The following is a 20,259-nucleotide window of genomic DNA, read 5'->3' on the forward strand; positions in this document are numbered from 1 at the left end:
AAATGCAACCTAAGAATAGGAGGATGAGATTTTGGATGGGACATGTGTCTGAAGTACAGTATCAAACCGACTAAAAGGGGATAAGTGGATTTGATGACTCAGAGCATTCTCAGTATCTAAAAATCTCTTATTGAAAAAGTCAGTGGTATAATTTATTCATGTTAAAATTATTTATCAGTAATCTAGTATGTCTCATGCACTGTACTAGGAATGGAAACATCTGTAATTCTCACTCTGGGCAAGAATAATGTATGAATTATACTAATGCTAATTTGTAGCAATAGATTGTCAAATATAGTGACTAAAATAGTAAGGAATTGTATTTCCCTCTTATAGGAAACCTCATTGCTCATGATTGTTCAGGAATCCAAGCTCCTTCCAACACACATTACTCCACCATCTCTTAGGATTTTTGTGGGATCTGCGTGCTTGACTCTGTGTTTCTGCCAAGTTCAGGTTTTAGTAAGCAAGAAGGTAGAAGCGGGTGTGGAGAAAACATGCCTGTGGTCTCAGTGCTCCCATCTGAAAGTGGCACCATCATTTTCTCTCAAATTCTCTTGATGAGAACATTGTCACATGGCCACACTAATTTCAAAGGAGGCTAAGAAATGCTCTATGACTGGGCATCCATATGCCTGGATGCTACTCTGTTAAATGCAAAAGAATGGGGAAACAGATTCTAGTGGGTAGCTTTCAGTCTCTACCAGAGATGACTTGTCTTTTCTGCTATTTTTTTGTTAGATATATATATATATAATGTAGGTCCAAGAAAACAATTACATCTGGATGTAGAGTTGGAGTATAGACATCTATTTATTGTTTGTATAGGTTAGGATGGCTATGACTACAATATTTTTATAGACATGAATAAATTATTTTTATCACATAAATTTTGGATGTTTGCTGATAAGCAAGATTAGTGAGGATTTAGAATTGAAAATGAGTATAAATAGCAGAGCATTTGTTATAACAGAAAAAAAAAGTTCTGCAATCCCAGCTACTCAGGAAGCTGAGGCAGGAGGATGGCTTGAGGCTAGGGGTTTGAGACCAGCCTGGGCAACATAGTGAGACCCCTTGTCTAAAAACAAATTATGTAAAAATTAGCTGGCTTGGTGGGGTATGGTCCCCAACACTTGGGAGGCTGAGGCAGGAGGATCATTTGAGCCCAAGAGTACAAGGCTGCCATGAGCTATGATTGTACCACTGCACTCCAGCAGCCTGGGTAACAGAGTGAGACTCTATTTCAAAAAGAATAAAGAAAAGAAAAATATGGAGAATTTTGTCATCAAGGTGAAGTAAAATTCATTCATTTATTGTATTTTGATCATATTCATTCTTCACTATGTATTGAGCCAGCTCCATGAAAGACAGTAATAGGACCACTTAAATTTGTAGTTATCACCCCCTCTATTAAATTCAATAAACATTTTTTGTTATCTTTTACAAGCAGTGCTTGTTAGGAGAACAGTGTGGTGTCAACAAAGTAAGACATGCACCTTTAGTCCCTATGAAGAAAACCTTTAAGCACATAGCAAAGGACCTACCTATATTAGAAGCCCCACAGAATTAAAGAATTGAAACCCATCGAGAAGAGTTGTTGCAGAGAGCAAGATTCAAAGTGTGAACACTCATCCTTGTCAATCAGGGTTCTCACTCTTAAACACAATGTCAGAAGTAAGCTGATGGTTATATTTAATATTTAGGCAAGAAGATACATGTGTATGCATTTTTGGACTTGTACACATACCAGGATTCAATATAAGTATCATCTATTAGTGGAAAAAAAAAGAATTGAAAGCTAATGAGGACTTAAACTCCAAGCCTAGGCCCTCCTAGATCTTTCCCCTGAAAACTCTTTTATTATCAATCTTCTGTCCACCCTACCTAATAGCCAAGCTTCCTACCAAAATAGGACTAGACTGCTTATGTTGAATGCCAGCCTCCAACACTTAATAACCATGTTTTATGGCAAATTATGTAACTGTCATGAGCTTCACTTTTCTTATCTACAAAAGGTGGATAGTAATAATAGATACCTCATAGGACCTCTGAAAGGATTAAATGAATTCATATGTACAGTCATGTACCACATAATGATATTGAGTGACTTCAGATTGTAATGAAATTGAAAAATGGCTATCACCTACATACATCATGGCTATTGCTGCGTTGTAGTGCAATGCATTACCTTTTCTATGTTTAGATATGTTTAAATACACAAATAGTTACTACTGTATTATAGTTGCCTACCGTATTCAGTACAGTCACATGCTATATGGGTTTGTAGCATAGGTGCAATATTCTATACCATATAGCCTAGATGTGTAGTAGGTTATACCATCTGGGTTTTTATAAGTACTGTATACTCTATGATGTTTGCACAACAACGAAATTGCCTAATGACAGCTTTCTCAGACTGTACCCCTGTTGTCAAGCAATGTTTGACTGCATATATTTCTTAGAATGGTGCCTGGAATATTGTAAGTGTCGTGTAAGAGTTTGGCACATAAAAGTGCTATATATGTATTTCCTGTCATCATTGTCATCATGAGATTTACTGATTTCCATGTGTTCAATTTGTATTAGCTTATGTGTACCTTTTAATCTCTTGCGGTCTATTGTTTGTGTCAATTTTACTTTTTCTTTCTCTTTTTAGATGGGAAATTTGGAATTAAGCCTTCCCAGAGGAGAATTTCTGGGAAATCTACATTTCATAGTGAAATGGAGGGTGAAGACACAAGAGATGATTCATTATACTCTATTTTAGAAGAATTGTGGCAAGATGCTGAACAGATAAAGAGATGTCAGGAAAAACACAACAAACTTCTGAGTCGCACTACTTTCCTCAATAAGAAAATATTGAATACAGAGTGGGATTATGAATATAAAGACTTTGGAAAATTTGTTCATCCAAGCCCAAATCTCATTCTTTCACAGAAAAGACCCCATAAACGTGATTCATTTGGGAAGAGTTTTAAGCATAATTTAGACTTACATATTCATAATAAAAGCAATGCAGCAAAGAACCTGGATAAAACTATTGGGCATGGTCAAGTTTTTACCCAGAACTCTTCTTATAGTCACCACGAAAATACACATACAGGAGTGAAGTTCTGTGAACGTAATCAATGTGGAAAAGTCCTCAGCCTCAAACACTCACTCAGTCAAAATGTGAAATTTCCCATTGGAGAGAAAGCAAACACATGTACTGAATTTGGGAAGATCTTCACCCAGAGGTCACATTTCTTTGCTCCTCAAAAAATTCATACTGTGGAAAAACCTCATGAGCTTAGCAAATGTGTAAATGTTTTTACACAGAAGCCACTACTCAGTATATATCTGAGAGTTCATAGAGATGAAAAACTCTACATATGTACTAAATGTGGGAAGGCCTTCATCCAGAATTCAGAATTAATTATGCATGAGAAAACTCATACTAGAGAGAAACCCTATAAATGCAATGAATGTGGGAAATCATTTTTCCAGGTGTCATCTCTACTCAGGCATCAGACAACTCATACTGGAGAAAAACTCTTTGAATGCAGTGAATGTGGTAAAGGCTTCTCCCTGAACTCAGCCCTCAATATACATCAGAAAATTCACACTGGAGAGAGACATCACAAATGCAGTGAGTGTGGGAAAGCCTTTACCCAAAAATCAACACTCAGGATGCATCAGAGAATTCATACAGGAGAGAGGTCCTATATCTGTACTCAATGTGGGCAGGCCTTCATCCAGAAGGCACACTTGATTGCACATCAAAGAATTCATACTGGAGAGAAGCCTTATGAATGCAGTGACTGTGGGAAATCTTTCCCTTCTAAGTCACAACTCCAGATGCATAAGAGAATTCATACAGGAGAGAAACCCTATATATGCACTGAATGTGGGAAGGCTTTCACCAACAGGTCAAATCTCAATACTCACCAGAAGTCTCATACTGGAGAAAAGTCTTATATATGTGCTGAATGTGGGAAGGCCTTCACCGACAGGTCAAATTTCAATAAACACCAGACCATTCACACTGGAGAGAAACCCTATGTTTGTGCTGATTGTGGGAGGGCCTTCATCCAGAAGTCAGAGTTGATTACACATCAGAGAATTCATACTACAGAGAAGCCTTATAAATGTCCTGACTGTGAGAAATCCTTCTCCAAGAAACCACATCTCAAAGTACATCAACGAATTCACACAGGGGAGAAACCATATATATGTGCAGAATGTGGGAAAGCCTTCACTGATAGGTCAAATTTCAATAAACATCAGACAATTCATACTGGAGATAAACCGTATAAATGCAGCGACTGTGGAAAGGGGTTCACCCAGAAATCAGTTCTCAGTATGCATCGCAATATTCATACATGAAAGTAATCCTGTTTCTTGAAAATGAGAGCCTTATAAGGCTGACAAAAGTCAGGTCTAACTATATATTATAAAATTCATCCAAGACAGATCCTATATGAATACATTGTATAAGGAAAAGCATCAGGCTATCTCACTTGAGATGGAAAAAAATTATTCAGAAGAAACTCTCTTAAAAATGCATTGAAGGAGAGAGAATTTGCACAGCCTCATGAAATATAGTAAAAGTCATACTGGGAAAAATGTTGTCAGTTTGGTGTGTTAGGAAAAGCCTTCCTATAGAAAGTATTATAAGTTAAATTGTTACCAAATTCTTTATAGGAAGGAGAGTGCAAAATTATGTAAATGATGGTCAGGTTTACTGTGTTATATTAAGCAATTTAAAGTGATAACAAAATGAAAGGTAGTGCAGCAAAATAATATAACTGGTGAGTAGACCTACTTTCAGTTCCATAGGGTGTTTGTGGCAGAACACAGTGCAGAACAGGAGGAATATTACATTTTTTTTCAAATTTAGAATAATTATGTCCATCAAATGTTTCTTACTGAATATGTCTATCAAATATGTTTCTTATTGAATATTTCTATCAAGTGAATCCACAATTTAAAAGTCACTTTGGTTTTATATATACACACATCTGCAGATATAATTTTATAAGAACACACAAATATAATCCTGTCATTCGTACTGGTTTCCATGACATAGTATCTTGTTTTCTTTCATTGTGGTACAATGCAAAGTAGCCACAGATTCCTCCCATCCCAAGTAGCGTCTCTTTGTCTACTACTTGACTTTGAACTTGGCCACGTGACTTTCTTTGGCCAATGGAAATTAGCAAAGAGAATCAATAAGAAGCTTGAGAAGTGTGCAAAGCCTGCCTTGAAGCTTACCCTCTCTTGCTGCTCTTTGCAAACCTGAAGAATCTCAAATTGCCCTACTCGGGGGTGAGGAGCCACCACATGGAGCAGTGGTGAGCCAGCCTTGCTGAGGCCCCTTAGACCAAGTAGCCTGCCAATTGTCAGAATTGGGAGTGAGGTTTTCCAAGACCTCTAGCCCCAGCTGAGCCAGCCTAGCCCAGAAGAGCCATACCAGTTATTCCAGCTGATTTACAGAATTGTGAGATAAATAAAATGATGATAGTTTTAAGCAACATGAGTTTTGGGGTTAGTTTGTTGTACAGAAAATGCTAAGTAATATTTGAAAGTATATGTTTGGGGGAGGGGGCATAGTGGACCAAAACGTGACAAGTGGCATTGGCTTTGGGTCTGAGTGGCACGTAGAAACTGGAAAAACAGTGAGGAAAACTGTTTTTCCTCAAATAACAAAGGTTGGATAGTTGGCAACCCATGTTATTTAGTAGGGAAAGATACAGAAAAACAGTCATCACCATACTCTGTGGGAAGATAGAGAATGGACCAAACGAACTGGTGGATCTGGCTAAGGAGATTTGCAGCAGAATATGGGAAGTATCAGTTTGCTTCTTTTAGCTGCATATGATACGATACAGAAAGAGAGAAATGAACTAAAGAAATAACTGTTTCTTTGGCAAGCAGAATTCAGAAGAAATATGGAAAAGCCAAGGATTGCTGGGTTGAAAAATAATGCTTTCACATCACTAGTCTCTCCAGCTATCTAACTATTCGCAAGGTAAAAAATGGCCTCAGGGTAAAGATCAAATCATGGTTGTGTCTGTAAGACTCTTTATTACAGTGTGTGAAATAGTTCAGTTGGTGCTTAGGAGACCATCTCAGCTAAACTTAAGGGCTTCTAAAAATCTTCATGACGTTGTCCCATAGAAGCCTGACATACTACTCAAAGTGGAGAGAGACCTATCTTAAAAAGAATTGCTGATGTGGCATTTGGGGAAAGGAGTAGATCCAAACCAGATTCATAGGAAACTCACAAAGTTTTTAATAGAGTTTTACTAGTAAAACTACCTCCAGGTTGGACTTCCAGGGACTGAAACAGTTCAAAATGAAAAGTGGCCTCTGGATTCCCCTCCCTAACTTCTATGAATAGGATACAAGCTGAGAAAGTTACTCAGATGCAAACACGGTCCATTTCTTATGGAAAATGAAGGGCATCTCAGAGGGAAGACCCAAGAACAATATATTAAAATGAGCTGGGGAGCCGTTCCCAGGGAGAACTGTGCCCTAATCAAGAAACGTATCTGCCCCTGGAGCCAAGGGAACCGACAACATTTGCTCTGTGGGATTTCAGAATCGTTATGGAACAGTGACTGATATGTGCCTCATGGTCCTCCTCTTTTTGAATGGGAGTGTCTATTACAGTTATCCTGTACCTATCCCACCATTGTATATATTGGGTGTATGTTGGGGGGCATGTAACTTGTCATTTAGCTCACAGGTATCTGGATCAAGAAACTGAAAAACTGTACCCAAGGAACCTCAGCCACACCTGAACCTGATACAGAAGACTTGAGATTCTGGATTGGAGCTTGATGCCACAATTTTGGATGAGAAATTTGGAGGTCCTGGAATAGGGGTGAACACATTTTGCATGGGGTGGTAATGTGAATACTTTGTGACCAGAAGACACACTGTGTTAGGTAGAAAAATGCTACAGATGTCTTCATCCCTGTATATGTGTCCTTCTTCAGTCTTTATTTCTCTTTGTGTTTCAGTTAGGATAATTTCTATTGATCTGTCTTCAAATTCACTGATGTTTTTTCTCTCACCCTGGCTTTGTCAAGTCTACTGCTGAACCCATTGAAGGCATTCTTCAACTCAGTTATGTTTTATTTTTATTTGTAATATTTCCATTTGATTCTTACAATTTTCATATATCTGCTGAAATTCCCCATCTTTTCATGCATGTTCATGTTTTCCCCTTTACCCTTTGTCTTAGTCAGTTTGAGCTGCTATAATAAAGCACCATAGACTTGGTGGCTTATAAACAACAGAAATTTATTCCTCACAGTTCTGGAGCCTGGAAGTCTGAGATCAGAATCTAGCAAGGTTAGGTCTTGGTGACGGCCCTCTTCAAGGTTGCAAACTGCTCACTTCTTGCATTTTCCCATGTCTACAGCTAGAGAACTCTTTGGGATCCCTTTTATAAGGGCACCAATCCCATTCATGAGTTCTCCACCCACATTACCTAACTACCACCCAAAGGCTCCACCTCCTAATACCATCACATTGAGGATTAGGATTTTAACATATGAATTTTGGGGGGGATGCAATCATTCAGCCCATAATACCCTCTAACATATTAATCATAGTTATTTTTAACTCCCTGTCTGATAGTTCCAACTACTAGGTCAACTGAGTCTAGGTCTGTTGTTGTCTTCTCTTGCTCTTTTGCATCTAATAATTTTTGGCTGAATGTCACAGATGTTGTATGTAGGACAGTAGAAACTGAGGTAAATAGTAATTATTCCTGGAAACAGCCATGGTTGCCCTTTTGATAGGCCATTAGCATGGGGAGATTGAATCCATCTAATCAGGAGTTGGGCTGAGTTTGTGTTTCTTTGTTGCCAGTGTTACCTTTGCTGTACCATAGACTTAAAATTCCTCTATTGTTATCTTATGCTTGAGGTAGGCACTGGTTTGCCCAGAGAATTTTTATTTTTCCCAGACCACACTTGCCTTTAGGCCTGTAGGCCTTTCCTGTGTGCCTGCATCTCAGGGAGGGTCTCTCTCCATGTTGTTGCCTCTATGTTAGTAGTAGACAACTGTTATTACTTGGTTCTTGCTGACCTGGTGAGTTGGGGGGCAGGGGTTGTCTTGGGCCAGCCTCAGTTTTTGTCAGGCCATGAATCCCTGGGTCTTGAGGGTGGGATTTTTTAGTGATCCTGCCCTCTTCCACTGGTAGAAGGCCTTTAATGATCTGGGCCCAGGATGATTTCCTGCCCTTTTATCATGGGTGGAATTTTTTTTTCCATTTCCCTCACTCTAGTCACAGTGAATCTTTAACTGTGTCCTGAGGGCAACAGGGTTTGCTGCACTTCTTTTAGTGGCTTAAGGATTTTGTTCTGTAGGGGAGTAGGGTTTCATTGGAGCTTTGTGCCATTTCTATGTTAACAGCAGCCCCCTTGCAGGCCTACCCCATGGAGGTAGGCTTTCTCCAGTCTTCTTCCTTGTCCCCGTGTTTCTTGAGAGCACTCAGTGGATGACTATGGAGAAGAGCCTGCAAGCAGAGACCAACTACCCTTAGGTCTACAGCTCTCATGAGTCTCCCGCACTCAGCCTTTAGCAATTCATTAAAAATTCTTGTTGAATTCTTACTGCTTGTATAGTGGCCTCATCTTCCTTCCTGCTGTACCACAGATGGCCCAGGAGAGGCACTTGTCTTTTATTATATTTCAAGCTAGTTGGTTGCTCTGTAATCTTAGCTCTCTGATGGGTTCGAGAAAACTTATGTTTTTGCAGATTACCCAGCTTTGTTCTTGTTATAAAGATGGGAGCAGTGTTCTTTCCAGATGTCTACATGCTAGGCAGAAACTAGAAGTCTGGACAGTCTCCATGGTCTCCTACTATCAGAATATGTGCCCTTTTCAGTGTGACTTTGCCACTTCACCCATCAAGAGGTAGAATCTATTTCTTCAACCCCTGCAACTGAGCTTGGCTATTTTGTTGGCCAATGGGACATTAACAAGTATGATACAAGCAGAGGCTTGAGAAGTGCCTGCACAATGAGGCTTGCCCACTTTTGCAGCTCTTTGGAATCCTGAACCCATGTGTGGAAAAGCCTGAACTGTGCTGTTGGAAAATGAGAGCGATCACATGGAGCAGTAATGGAGCAAAGACCAGCCATCCCAGTTGAGATACCCTACACCAACCAGATTTTCAACTGCTGGACATATGAATGAAGCTATCCTAGGCATGCAGTCTTGGTCAAGGCAACTTTGGCTGGCAGTCTCTGAGATGACCCTGAATGATCCCCACCTCCTGGTATTCTCACTCTTATATAATCCCCTCCTCTTGAGTTTGGACTGGAATTAGTGACTTGGTTCTAGTGAATAGAATGAGGCAGAGGTAATGGGATGTCATGTTCAAGATTGGTTACAAAAAGACTGTGGCTTCCATTTTGGGTGCTTGCTTACTCTCTCAGATGGCTCATCATAGGGGAAACCTGCTGCTACATCATGAGATAGCCCTGTGGAAAGGTCCACATGAGTGAACTTTGAAGCATATCCTCCCCCAGTTTAGCCTTTAGATGAGGACCACAGCCAAATAGCTTGACTGTAAGCCAGATAGCTTGACTCATGAGGGACCTTCAGCCAGAGGCATCTTTTGAGCCATACGAATTCCTGACCCATAGAAACTGCAAGACAATAAATGTTGTTTTAAGTTGCTAAATTTTAGGGTAATTTGTTACACAGTAATAGGTTAATAATACACTGGCCCAGATTAGGAAGGTTCTGCCATCCATCCCAGCCATCCCAAACAACTACCAGAATAATGGATTAAAACGTTAACTGTTTTAAGTCACTAAGTTTTGGGCAGCATGATAACAACCCAGCAAAAAGCTAACTGATACATTGATTATTTATTGCATTTCTTCCTCCACTATTCTTCTCTAACAGATGACCAATACTAATAAACTACTGTGAACACTTTCATGTTTTAATCTCTGCTCTGTGCTCATAATCATATATAGACATACATACGTTCCCATGCTTGTAATCAGAAGTTATATAAGATTGTTTCCTCCTTTGATTTTCAAAAATGGGATCATAACATACAACCATCTCTGCAGCTTGCTTTATTATTATTCAACAATATTTGTTTTGAATGGTTGCATGATAGTTTATGGGGTGGATGTACAATAATGTATTAAACTATTTGCATTGTTAAAATTTATTCACTCCCATTTTCAACCCTTTTTTGTCACTGGGAACAATGCTGCTAAAAATATTAAAAGATAGTTTGCATAGTGGTTAGGTAGATAGGCTCAGGAACCCATCTGCCAGGGTTTCAATCCTGGCTCTACCAATTTACTAGTTTATGTGACCTTGGGAAAGTTAGTTAACCTCTGTCCTGATGGTTTTCATCTATAAAAGATGTACACACTACCACCTATCATAGATTTGACTAAGAAGCATATTTCTTTCCTCGGGCTGCTATAACAAAGTACCACAAATTGGGCAGCCTAAAACAGCAGAAATTGTCTCATTGTTCTTGAGGCTGGAGATCCGAATCACGGTGTCAGCAGGGTCATGCTCCCTCTGAAGGTGCTAGGGAAGGAACGGTTCCATGCCTCTCTCCTAGCTTTTGAGAGCTTCAGGTGTTATTTGGCTTATAGATGCATTATTCCTGTCAGATGGCTGTTTTCTCCCTGTGTTTCTTCACATCATGTTCCCTCTGTGTGTCTGGCTCTCTTTCCAAATTTCCCCTTTTATAAGGACACTAGTTATATTGGAGTGGGGTTCACTTTAATGGCCCCATTTTAACTTAATTACCTCTGTACTCTATTTCCAAATAAAATTGTATTCTGAGGTTCTGGGGATTAGGATTTCCACGTATCTTTTTTGCAGGTACACAGTTCATTAACAAGAAGTTAATGCATATTGTGTAGAGCTCTTAGAACTATGCATGGAGAGAATTTCTTAATGGGTATTAGATACACCTCACTTCCTGAGCCCGCACAGGTCCCCCTACAACTCTCTGTGCTTGGGACACTGAGGTGGGATTTGAGAGCTTGTTTCCGGCATCTTAGTGTCATCCAGCTATCTAAAGAAAATGTAGGGAGTAACAGGAAAAGCAGGCCTAAGACCAAAGCTTGTGCTTTGGGTCGAGAAGGATATGCCTATAGAAGATAATGAGAAGGAGCAGCCAGAGAGGTAAAAACATACCAGGTGAGCAAGGGGCTCATAGAGAACAGTGTTTCCAACAAGTGTTTTAATGGAGGACTTGTCCAAATTAGACATCAATTCATATGAGGATGGAAAATTGGTTCTTGATTTTATGACACAGAGGTTGTTGTTGGCTTTGATGAATGCTATTTTGGAAGTAAATTTAAACAAAGCAATTGAGCAAACTCAGAGGAATTTCTGAATTCAGGTGGTGTTACTTCACCATGAAGCAATTTTTCTCATAGAAAAATATCAAGCCATTGGACTAGATTATTCTGTCGTTTGGGTTATACTGAGAAATAAGAGTTGGCTAAAGTAGAAATTACATGAGATTTGGAAGGTCAAAGGGAAGGAGCAACTATTGCTGTGAAAGTCTTTGAAATTAGAGACAGTGAAGGACAGATGCAGAGGTACCCAGCAGGTTCCAGTTTTTCCTATCTTCCACTCTATATCCAGCCCTTCTTTCCATCTTCCAGCCCTGCTGACCAACAGTAGCCCCAGGTCTACCACCAGATGCTTGGCTGCAGGCTCACAAAAGCTTCTCATGGACTTCTCCACCAGCTTCTCATGGCAGTCCCACATCAGCAGCTAGATGTGCCTGGCTTCTCAGATTTTCCTGAAAGCTCTGATTTATCCACCCATGCTAATGTCTCAAAAGGGCTGGTTTAGTGATTTCTTTAGTCTTCTAACTCCCCCTTCTAAACCTTCCCCAGCTACCTCTATAAATTGTGCATGCATCCCTTATTCCATAATGCTCATAGTTATTATGCTTCCCTGATTGACATATTTATACTTTCTTTTCCTGAGAATTTGGTAGATGCTGCTCTTCTAAAATTGAGTGATGTTATTAAGAAGTCTTAGACAAACTTGCTCTCTTTTTTCTTGTATATAATGTGCCTTTCTGCCATATGATTCTTTTTTTATTCTTGAAGTTAAGGATCTATGGAAGCATATGCTTTGGTCCTGATCTTTGTGTATTAATTTTACCTGAGTTATAGTGAGCCATTCCAATCATTCATTTCAAGGAAGTTTTATTTTGCTTAACATTTTTTCTGATCCATTTCTTCTCTTCTTCAGGGACATCAATTATGCATATGTAAGATGTCTTTGTCACCTTCTACATTCATCTTCTACCAATCAACATCCATTTCACATCATTATTCTTTTCAGTTTTGTGTGATTGACTCTAGCCTTGTCTTCAGAGACAATTCTCCTTGAATCTCATGTTCTTCATGTTTAGACATTAACAAGCAATTTGCTCAGATTTATTTACATTCCAGGATAGTAAAGATAGAGAATGTCTCCCTCCCTGGAGACTTTCCCAGAGAAGATTTGGTTGCATTCCAGGTTAATAAAGATTATATATATATATACCCAAAGAAGAGGATGGACAATAAAACAATATAACATTATTTCCCTCACATCTTAATTATGTGTATTTTCAATCATGTAGAAATATTGAAAACACAGTACAACCTATATAACATCCATCTAGATTTAACAATTTATATGTAATTTTTCCTGAAATACCAGTGGTAAGTTATAGATATAACATTATAACCATAAATAATTGAGCATTCATCTCCTAAAAATAAGGACATTCTCCCACATACCTGGAATATCATTATCAATCTAATTCTATGATATATCCAGTCCATTTCCAAATTTCTCCCATTGTCCCCAAAACATATTTTACAGTTTTAATGAGGTAGAATTAGCATACAGAAAGTGGAACTTGTTTAAAGTGTACAATTTGATGAGTTTTGACGTGTGCACCTTTCCAACCATCATGACAATACAAATAATGAACATATCAATCACCCCAAAAAAGTTTCCTTATGCCTCTTTGTCATTCAGCCCCCTTTCCCCACATTCTTCCCACATCCACAGGCAATCATGGATCTGTTTTCTATTGTTATAGATTAGTTTGCGTTTCCTACAATTTTATACACATGGAATAATACTATAGGTACTCTTGTTTGGCTCCTTCCATCCAGCATAATAAGTTTGAGATTCATTCATGTTGTTATATGCGTCTATGTTCATTCCTTTTTATTGCTAAGTGTTATTTCATTATATGGACATACCAGAATTTGTTTATCCATTCATGTTTTGATGGAAATTTGTATTTCCAGCTTTTGGCTATTACAAATAAAACTGATGTGAACATTTGTTTACAAGTCTGTGTGGACATAGTTTTCATTTCTCTTGAGTAAATGCATAGGAGTGAATGGCTTAGTCATATGGTAGGTATATACTTAATTATTTAAGAAATTGTCAAACTGCTTTCCAAAGTGGTTGTACTATGTTACATTTTAACCAGCAGTATATAAGTGCTGCAGTTGCTTCATTGGGTATGATTATTATTTTTAATTTTAGTCATTTAATGGGAGTGTAGTGGTATTTCACTGTGGTTTTAGGTTACACTTCCCTAATAAGTAATGCTGTTGAGCATCTTTTCTTGTGTTTATGTACCATCTGTATACCATCTTGGTTGATGTGTCTTCTTAAATATTTTGCCAATTTGTAAACTCAGTTGTTCGTCTTATTATTGAGTTGTAAGTGTTCTTTATATATCCTAGATATATGTCCTTTGTTGGATGTACATTCTGTAAACAGTTTCTTCTAGGTTTGCCTTTTCATTTAAATAACAGAAGACCAAAAGTTTTTAATGTTAACAAGCTCAATTCATTTTTGTTTTCTTTTATACTTCATGCTTTTTTGGTCATGGTTAATAAATTTTTGCAAAGCTCAAGGTCATTAAGATAAAAGTTTTTAAAAAGATTTATGCTTTCTTCTAGAAGTTTTATAATATTGGCTCTTATATTTGGTTACCTAATCCATTTTTATTAATTTTGCATATGATGTAAATCCTTTCCAAAGATAAGGATTTAGGTTGATTTTGTTTTGCATATGGCTGTCCAGTTGTTCCAGAACCATTTGTTGAAAATGATAATGCATTGGATTGCCTTGATATATTTATCAAAAAATTAATTGATTGGTTCTATTTCTGCTCTAGTTTTCTATTATGCCAGTACCACTACTGCCAGTACTACACCATTACTGTAGCTTCTGTACTACTGTAGCTTCTGTACTACTGTAGCATTACTCTTTGCTGTAGCTTCATAAGTCTTGAAGTCAGATCATGCAAATCCTCTAACTTTATTCCTCTTTTTCACACGTTTTGGCTATTCTGGTTTTTCTTTGAATTTCTATATAAATTTTAGAATCACCTTGTCAGTTACTATTAAAAAAAAGCCTGCTGGGATTTTGAGATTGAACTGAATTCATAGATCTATATGGAGAGAATTGACATCTTAATTACATTGTTTTCATATCCATAAACAGGACATATCATTCCATTTATTTAGGTCTTTAATTTTTCTTAGAAGTGCTTTGTAGTGCTGGGCGCGGTGGCTCACGCCTGTAATCCCAGCACTTTGGGAGGCGAGGCGAGCTGATCACGAGGTCGGGAGACCGACACCATCCTGGCTAGCACGGTGAAACCCCATCTCTACTAAAAATACAAAAAATTAGCTGGGCATTGTGGTGGGCGCCTGTAGTCCCAGCTACTCGGGAGGCTGAGGCAGGAGAATGGCGTGAACCCGGGAGGCGGGGCTTGCAGTGAGCAGAGATGGTGCCACTGCACTCCAGCCTGGCCGACAGAGCGAGACTCCGTCTCAAAAAATAGTGCTTTGTAGTTTTCAAGTGTACAAGCCTTAGACATATCTTGTCAAATTCATCTCTAAATAATTCATATCTATGCTTTTGAATGGTACCAGTTATTTTTAAATTTCAATTTCCAATATTTCTTTGCTAGTACATAGAAATATAATTCACTTTTATGTGTTGATCTTGTATACGATAACCTTGCTAAACTCACTTATTATTTCTAGTAATTTTGTAAATCCTGTAAGCTTTTCTACACAGACAATCATGTCATCTGTGAAGTGTGATAGTTTCACTTCTTCCTTTCCACTATAGGCGCTCTTTCTTTTTTTGTCTTATTGCATTGACTAAAACCTACAATATAATGTTGAATAGAAGTGGTCAGAGTGTATATCTTTGCCCTTTTCTTGATCTTCAGAAGAAAACATTTAGTCTTTCACTATTGAGTATGATATTAGCTATATGTTTTTCATACATGATCTTTATCAGGTTGATGAAGTTGCCTCTACTCCTGGTTTGTTGATAGTTTATCAGGAATAGGTGTTAGATTTTGTCAAATGTTTTTTCTCCATCGAGATTATCATATAGTTTTTCTTTTTTAGTTTGTTAATTTTTTGAATTACATTGACTATTGATAGATTTAGTATTCCTGGAATTAAACTCTTCTTGGTCGTGACGTACTACCATTTTTATATTTCACTAGATTCACTTTGCTAAAAATTTTGTTAAGAATTTTTGCATATATGTTTATGTGGGATACTAGTCTATAGTTTTCTTTTCTTGTATTTTCTTTGTCCGCTTTTGGTATCAGGGTAATGCTGGGCTCACAGAATGAATTGGGAAGTGGTACCTCCCCTGAAAGAGTTAGTGTGGAAATGGTATTATGCCTCCTTTTAATGTTTGATACAACTTTCCAGTGAAGTCATTTGGTCCTAGAATTCTTTTGTGAAAAGGCTTTTAACTACAACTTCAATTCCTTAATAGTTAGGAAACTATTCAGGTTGTCATATTCTTCTTCATTAAGCTTTGTTTGTATATTTCAAAGAACTTGTCTATTTTACATAAGTTGTCTAATTTAGGAACGTGAAGTTGTTTGTCACATCCCCTTTTTATCTGTAGCATTGGAAATGATGTTTCTTCTCTCATTCTTGATATCAGTAATTTGTGTCTTCACTTTTTTTCTCCTGATCAGTCTGGCTACAGTTTCTCAATTTTATTGATTTTCTCAAGAAGCTTTTAGTGTCCTTGATTTTCTCTATTGTTTTTCTATTTTGGATTTTATTGATTTATGCTCTTTTCTTTATTATTTCCTTTTTCTGCTTATTTGACTTAAATGTGCTCATTTTCGGCCAGGCATGGTGGCTCACACCTGTAATCCCAACATTTTGGGAGGCCGAGGTGGGTGGATCATTTGAGGTCAGGAGTTCACGACCAGCTGTGCCAACATGGTGAGATCCTGTCTCTACTAAAAATACAAAAATTAGCCGGGTGTGGTGGCGCATGCCTGTAATCCCAGCTACTCAGGAGGCTGAGGCAAGAGAATTGCTTGAACCCGGGAGGCGGAGGTTGCACTGAGCCGAGATCACGCCACTGCACTCCAGCCTGGGCGACAGAGTGAGACTCTGTCTCAAAAAAAAAAAAACAAAAAAACAAAAAGAAGTGCTCATTTTCTAGTTTCTATGGTTGAAGCTGCAGTCACTGCTTTAAGATTTTCCTTCTTTTGTAGTATAAATTTTTAGTGATATAAATTATCCTCTAAGCACTCATTTAGTAGCAACTCATATATTTTGATGTTTTTACATTTTTACATTGATACTGTATTGTAACGATATTTTTACATTGTTTTTACATTTTCATTCATTCAAAATACTTCCTAACTTACTTTAGGATTTCTTGTTTGTCCCATAGGTTATTTAGAAGTGTATTATTCAGTATGCAAATATTTGAGTATTTTTTACTTATTTTTCCCTATGATTTATAATTTGATTCCATTGTGGTCAGAGAACATACTTTATAGGACTTGGATACTTACAAATTAACTGAGATTTCCTCTATGGCCCTGAATATGGTCTGTATTGTTAAAAAGTTCCATGCATACTTATAAAGAATATGTATTCTACTATCATTGTATGGCATGATCGATGTTAATTAAGTCAAGATTTTTGATAGTGTGGTTCAAGCCTTCTATAGACTTACAGATTTTCCTATACAGTAGTCCCCCTCTTATCCACGGGGGATATGTTTCAAGACTCTGAGTGGATGCCTGAAACCATGGATAGTACTGAACCCTATATACTGTTTTTCTGATCAGATAACCAATATGGCTACTAAGTGACTAACAAGTGGATAGCATATACAGCATGAAGATGCTGAAAAAATGGAGGATTCACTCCCAGGCAGGACAGAGTGGGATGGTGTAAGATTTTATCATGCTACTGAGAACTGTGCACAACTTAAAACTTACGAATTTTTAATTTCTGGAAATTTCCCTTTGATATTTTTGGACTGCAATTGACTGTGGGTAACTGAAACTATGGAAAGCAAAATCACAGATAAGGGGGGACTACTGTATTTATTCTATCGATTATTGAGGGAGAGGTATTGAAATCTCTAACTAAAATTATATTTTTTCTATTTCTCCCTTTAGTTATACCGGTTTATACTTTGTCTATTTTGAAGCTCTGTTATTGAGTACACAAGCATTTAGGATTGTTAAGTCCTCTTGTTAAGTAGACACTTTTATCACTATGGAATGACACTATTCTGGTAAAATTCTTGTATTACAATAGCCACTCCATTTTTCTTTTTCTCAGTTTTAGCAAGTATGTATTTTTCCACTACTATCTACATATCTTCTTATTTTAAAATGATTTTATACTTACAGGAGAGTTATAAAGATAACAGAGTGTTCCCATATACCCATCAGTCATATTCCCCTAATGTTAACATTATACATAATCCTGATAGATTTTCTCAAAATTAATAATAGTATTAATTAAACTACATACTTCATTGAGATTTCCCTTGTTATTTTATTACTGACTGTGAGTTTGGAGGTCCCAAAGACCACCTTCAGATTCAATAATCCACTAGAAAGACTCACAGAACTCTGAAAAGCCACTGTACTGACAGTTACAGTTCATTACAGTGAAAGGATACACACTGAAATCAACAAGGGGAAGAGGCACATCAGGCAGAGTCCAAGAGACACCAGGCATAGAGTTTCTAGTTGTACTCTCCCAGTAGAGTAATGCAGATAGCACTTATTTCTATGAGCAATGATGTATGACAATACACATGGAATATTGCCAACCAGGCAGATTACCTGAGCCATGTCTAGAGTTTTTATTGGGAGTTGGTTACATAGACATGACTGAGTGCCTGCATTGCTGACCTTAATTCTCCAGATCCTCCAGAGGTTAAGCGATACTGCATGGCTGAAGACCCCCAGGTAACCAAGGACATTCTTATCAAGCAGGACATTCCAAGGGCTTAGAGGTTACCTCCTAGGAGCCAGGAACAGAAAACCAAAACTTCTTTGAGCAAGATTAATCCTTTACTGCATACTGACCTTTTCTGTTCCAGGATCCAATCCAGGATATCACATTGCACTTAGTTGTCATGTTTCCCTAGTCTCTTCCAATCTGTGACAGCTCTTGGTCTTTCTCTTTCATGACCTTGATGCTTTTGAGGAATAGTCATGAATATTGTAGAATGTTCCTCAATTTGGTTTCATCTGATTTTTTTTTATCATGAGCAGATTGAGGTTATGAATTTGAGGGATGGATATCACCAAATCTTAGTCCCTTCTTATTGAATTATTTCAGGAAACAAGATTATGTCAACATGATTTATTACTAGTAATGTTAATCTTTATCACTTTGTTATGATGTTGTCTCCTGAGTTTTTCTGTTGCAAAGTTATTACTTTTTCTCTTTCCATACTTTTCATCAGAAGTGAGCCAAAGTCCCACTCATACTAAAGGGGAGTGGCATTAAGCTCCACCTTCTGGACAGAGGGGTATCAAAGACTTTGTGGTCATATCTTAAAATTACCACAGGGGAATTGCTTTGATGTTACACAGATAATCTGTTTCTCCTTAAAAGTTTTGCCCAGTAATTTCAGCATTCATCAGTGAATCGTGCCTTCAGCAACTACTGTGTTTTTCTAATAGTGATTTTCTGTTTCCTTCATTGCTTTCACAATTGTTAATTGGGATTCTTCTGTAAGGAAGATATGTCCTGTCTCCCCTGCTTATTTGTTTATTCAGTCATTTACTTATGTCAGTATGGATGAAGGGACATTTATTTTATTCTTTGTATTATAATCGAATAGTACATTATTAATTATGTGGCACAAATTGTTACAGGTTTGGCTATTGTTAGATCTTTCAGGTTGGTTCTTGTGTTCCCTTTACATGACCCCATCCTTTTATTGGTAGTTGCGGGGGGCATTTTCTTACTTCCTGGAACTATAAGGTGGTCCAGGCTCATCTTGTATTTTCCTTGTCCCAGACAAAGAATTCGCTATTTATTTCTCCAAGGAGATCTGGTTCCTTTTGCTGGAAAATGGCATTTGGAAATCAAGCTCTTAAGATTAGGTGTGTTCATTGTTACTGGTGTGTCGCTGCTAGGAATGTCACAGAGCTAGGAAATTCATGTATGTATTCTAATCCATGTGTGCACACATACCTATTTTTATTTCTTTAGCTATTTATCTGTACACATTTAAATATAAACATAGCCAGGCGCGGTGGCTCACGCCTGTAATCCCAGCACTTTGGGAGGCCAAGGCAGGCGAATCACCTGAGGTCAGTTGTTAGAGACCAGCCTGGCCAACATGGTGAAACCCCATCTCTACTAAAAACACAAAAATTAGCCGGGTGTGGTGGCAGTCGCCTGTAATCCCAGCTACTTGGGAGGTTGAGGCAGGAGAATTGCCTGAACCCAGGAGGCAGAGGTTGCAGTAAGCCAAAATCATGCCACTGCACTCTAGCCTGGGTGACAGAGCAAGACTCCGTCTCAAAAAAACAAAATAAATAAATAAATAAATTAATTAATTAATTAATTAAAAAAACATAAGTTCATACTGACATCTCCAGCTCAAACCCAGCACTACAGGGTTCCTTCTAGCCTTCTCCCTGCCCTTGCTTATTTTTACTTCTTTCTCCATAAGTCAGGAAAGAAAAACAGTTGACTACATTTGTGTTGGCCTATTTGGGGGTTCTCTATTCTGTTCTTTTGATCTTTATTTCTGGCTTTTTGTCAATACCACACTTTCCTCATTACTGTAGCTCTACAGTGAGTCTTGAAATTGGGTAGTTCAAGTTCTCCAACTTTGTTTTCTCTTTTCAGAATTGTTTTGGCTATTTTTGCTCCTTTATTTTATCATGTTAATTTTAAAATCAGCT

The 20,259-nt window shown here is 37.8% G+C and overlaps 1 protein-coding gene across 5 annotated transcripts in view; it reads left to right on the forward strand.

Annotated features, from left to right (window-relative positions):
• Positions 1-13,360, forward strand: part of ZNF81 (zinc finger protein 81) — an 88,726-nt gene extending 75,366 nt beyond the window's left edge. For 2 of the 5 annotated variants that reach the window (NM_001378152.1, NM_001378153.1), the window contains one exon: positions 2,657-9,944. In NM_001378152.1, the coding sequence (NP_001365081.1) occupies positions 2,657-4,365 (1,709 nt within the window). In that variant the 3' untranslated portion in view covers positions 4,366-9,944. Of the gene's footprint in view, positions 1-2,656 lie in introns of all 5 variants that reach the window. The other 3 variants (NM_001378154.1, NM_007137.5, NM_001378155.1) reach the window with 3 other exon arrangements.

Source organism: Homo sapiens, chromosome X, assembly GCF_000001405.40.
Source record: "Homo sapiens chromosome X, GRCh38.p14 Primary Assembly".
NCBI classification, from domain to species: Eukaryota; Metazoa; Chordata; class Mammalia; order Primates; family Hominidae; genus Homo; species Homo sapiens.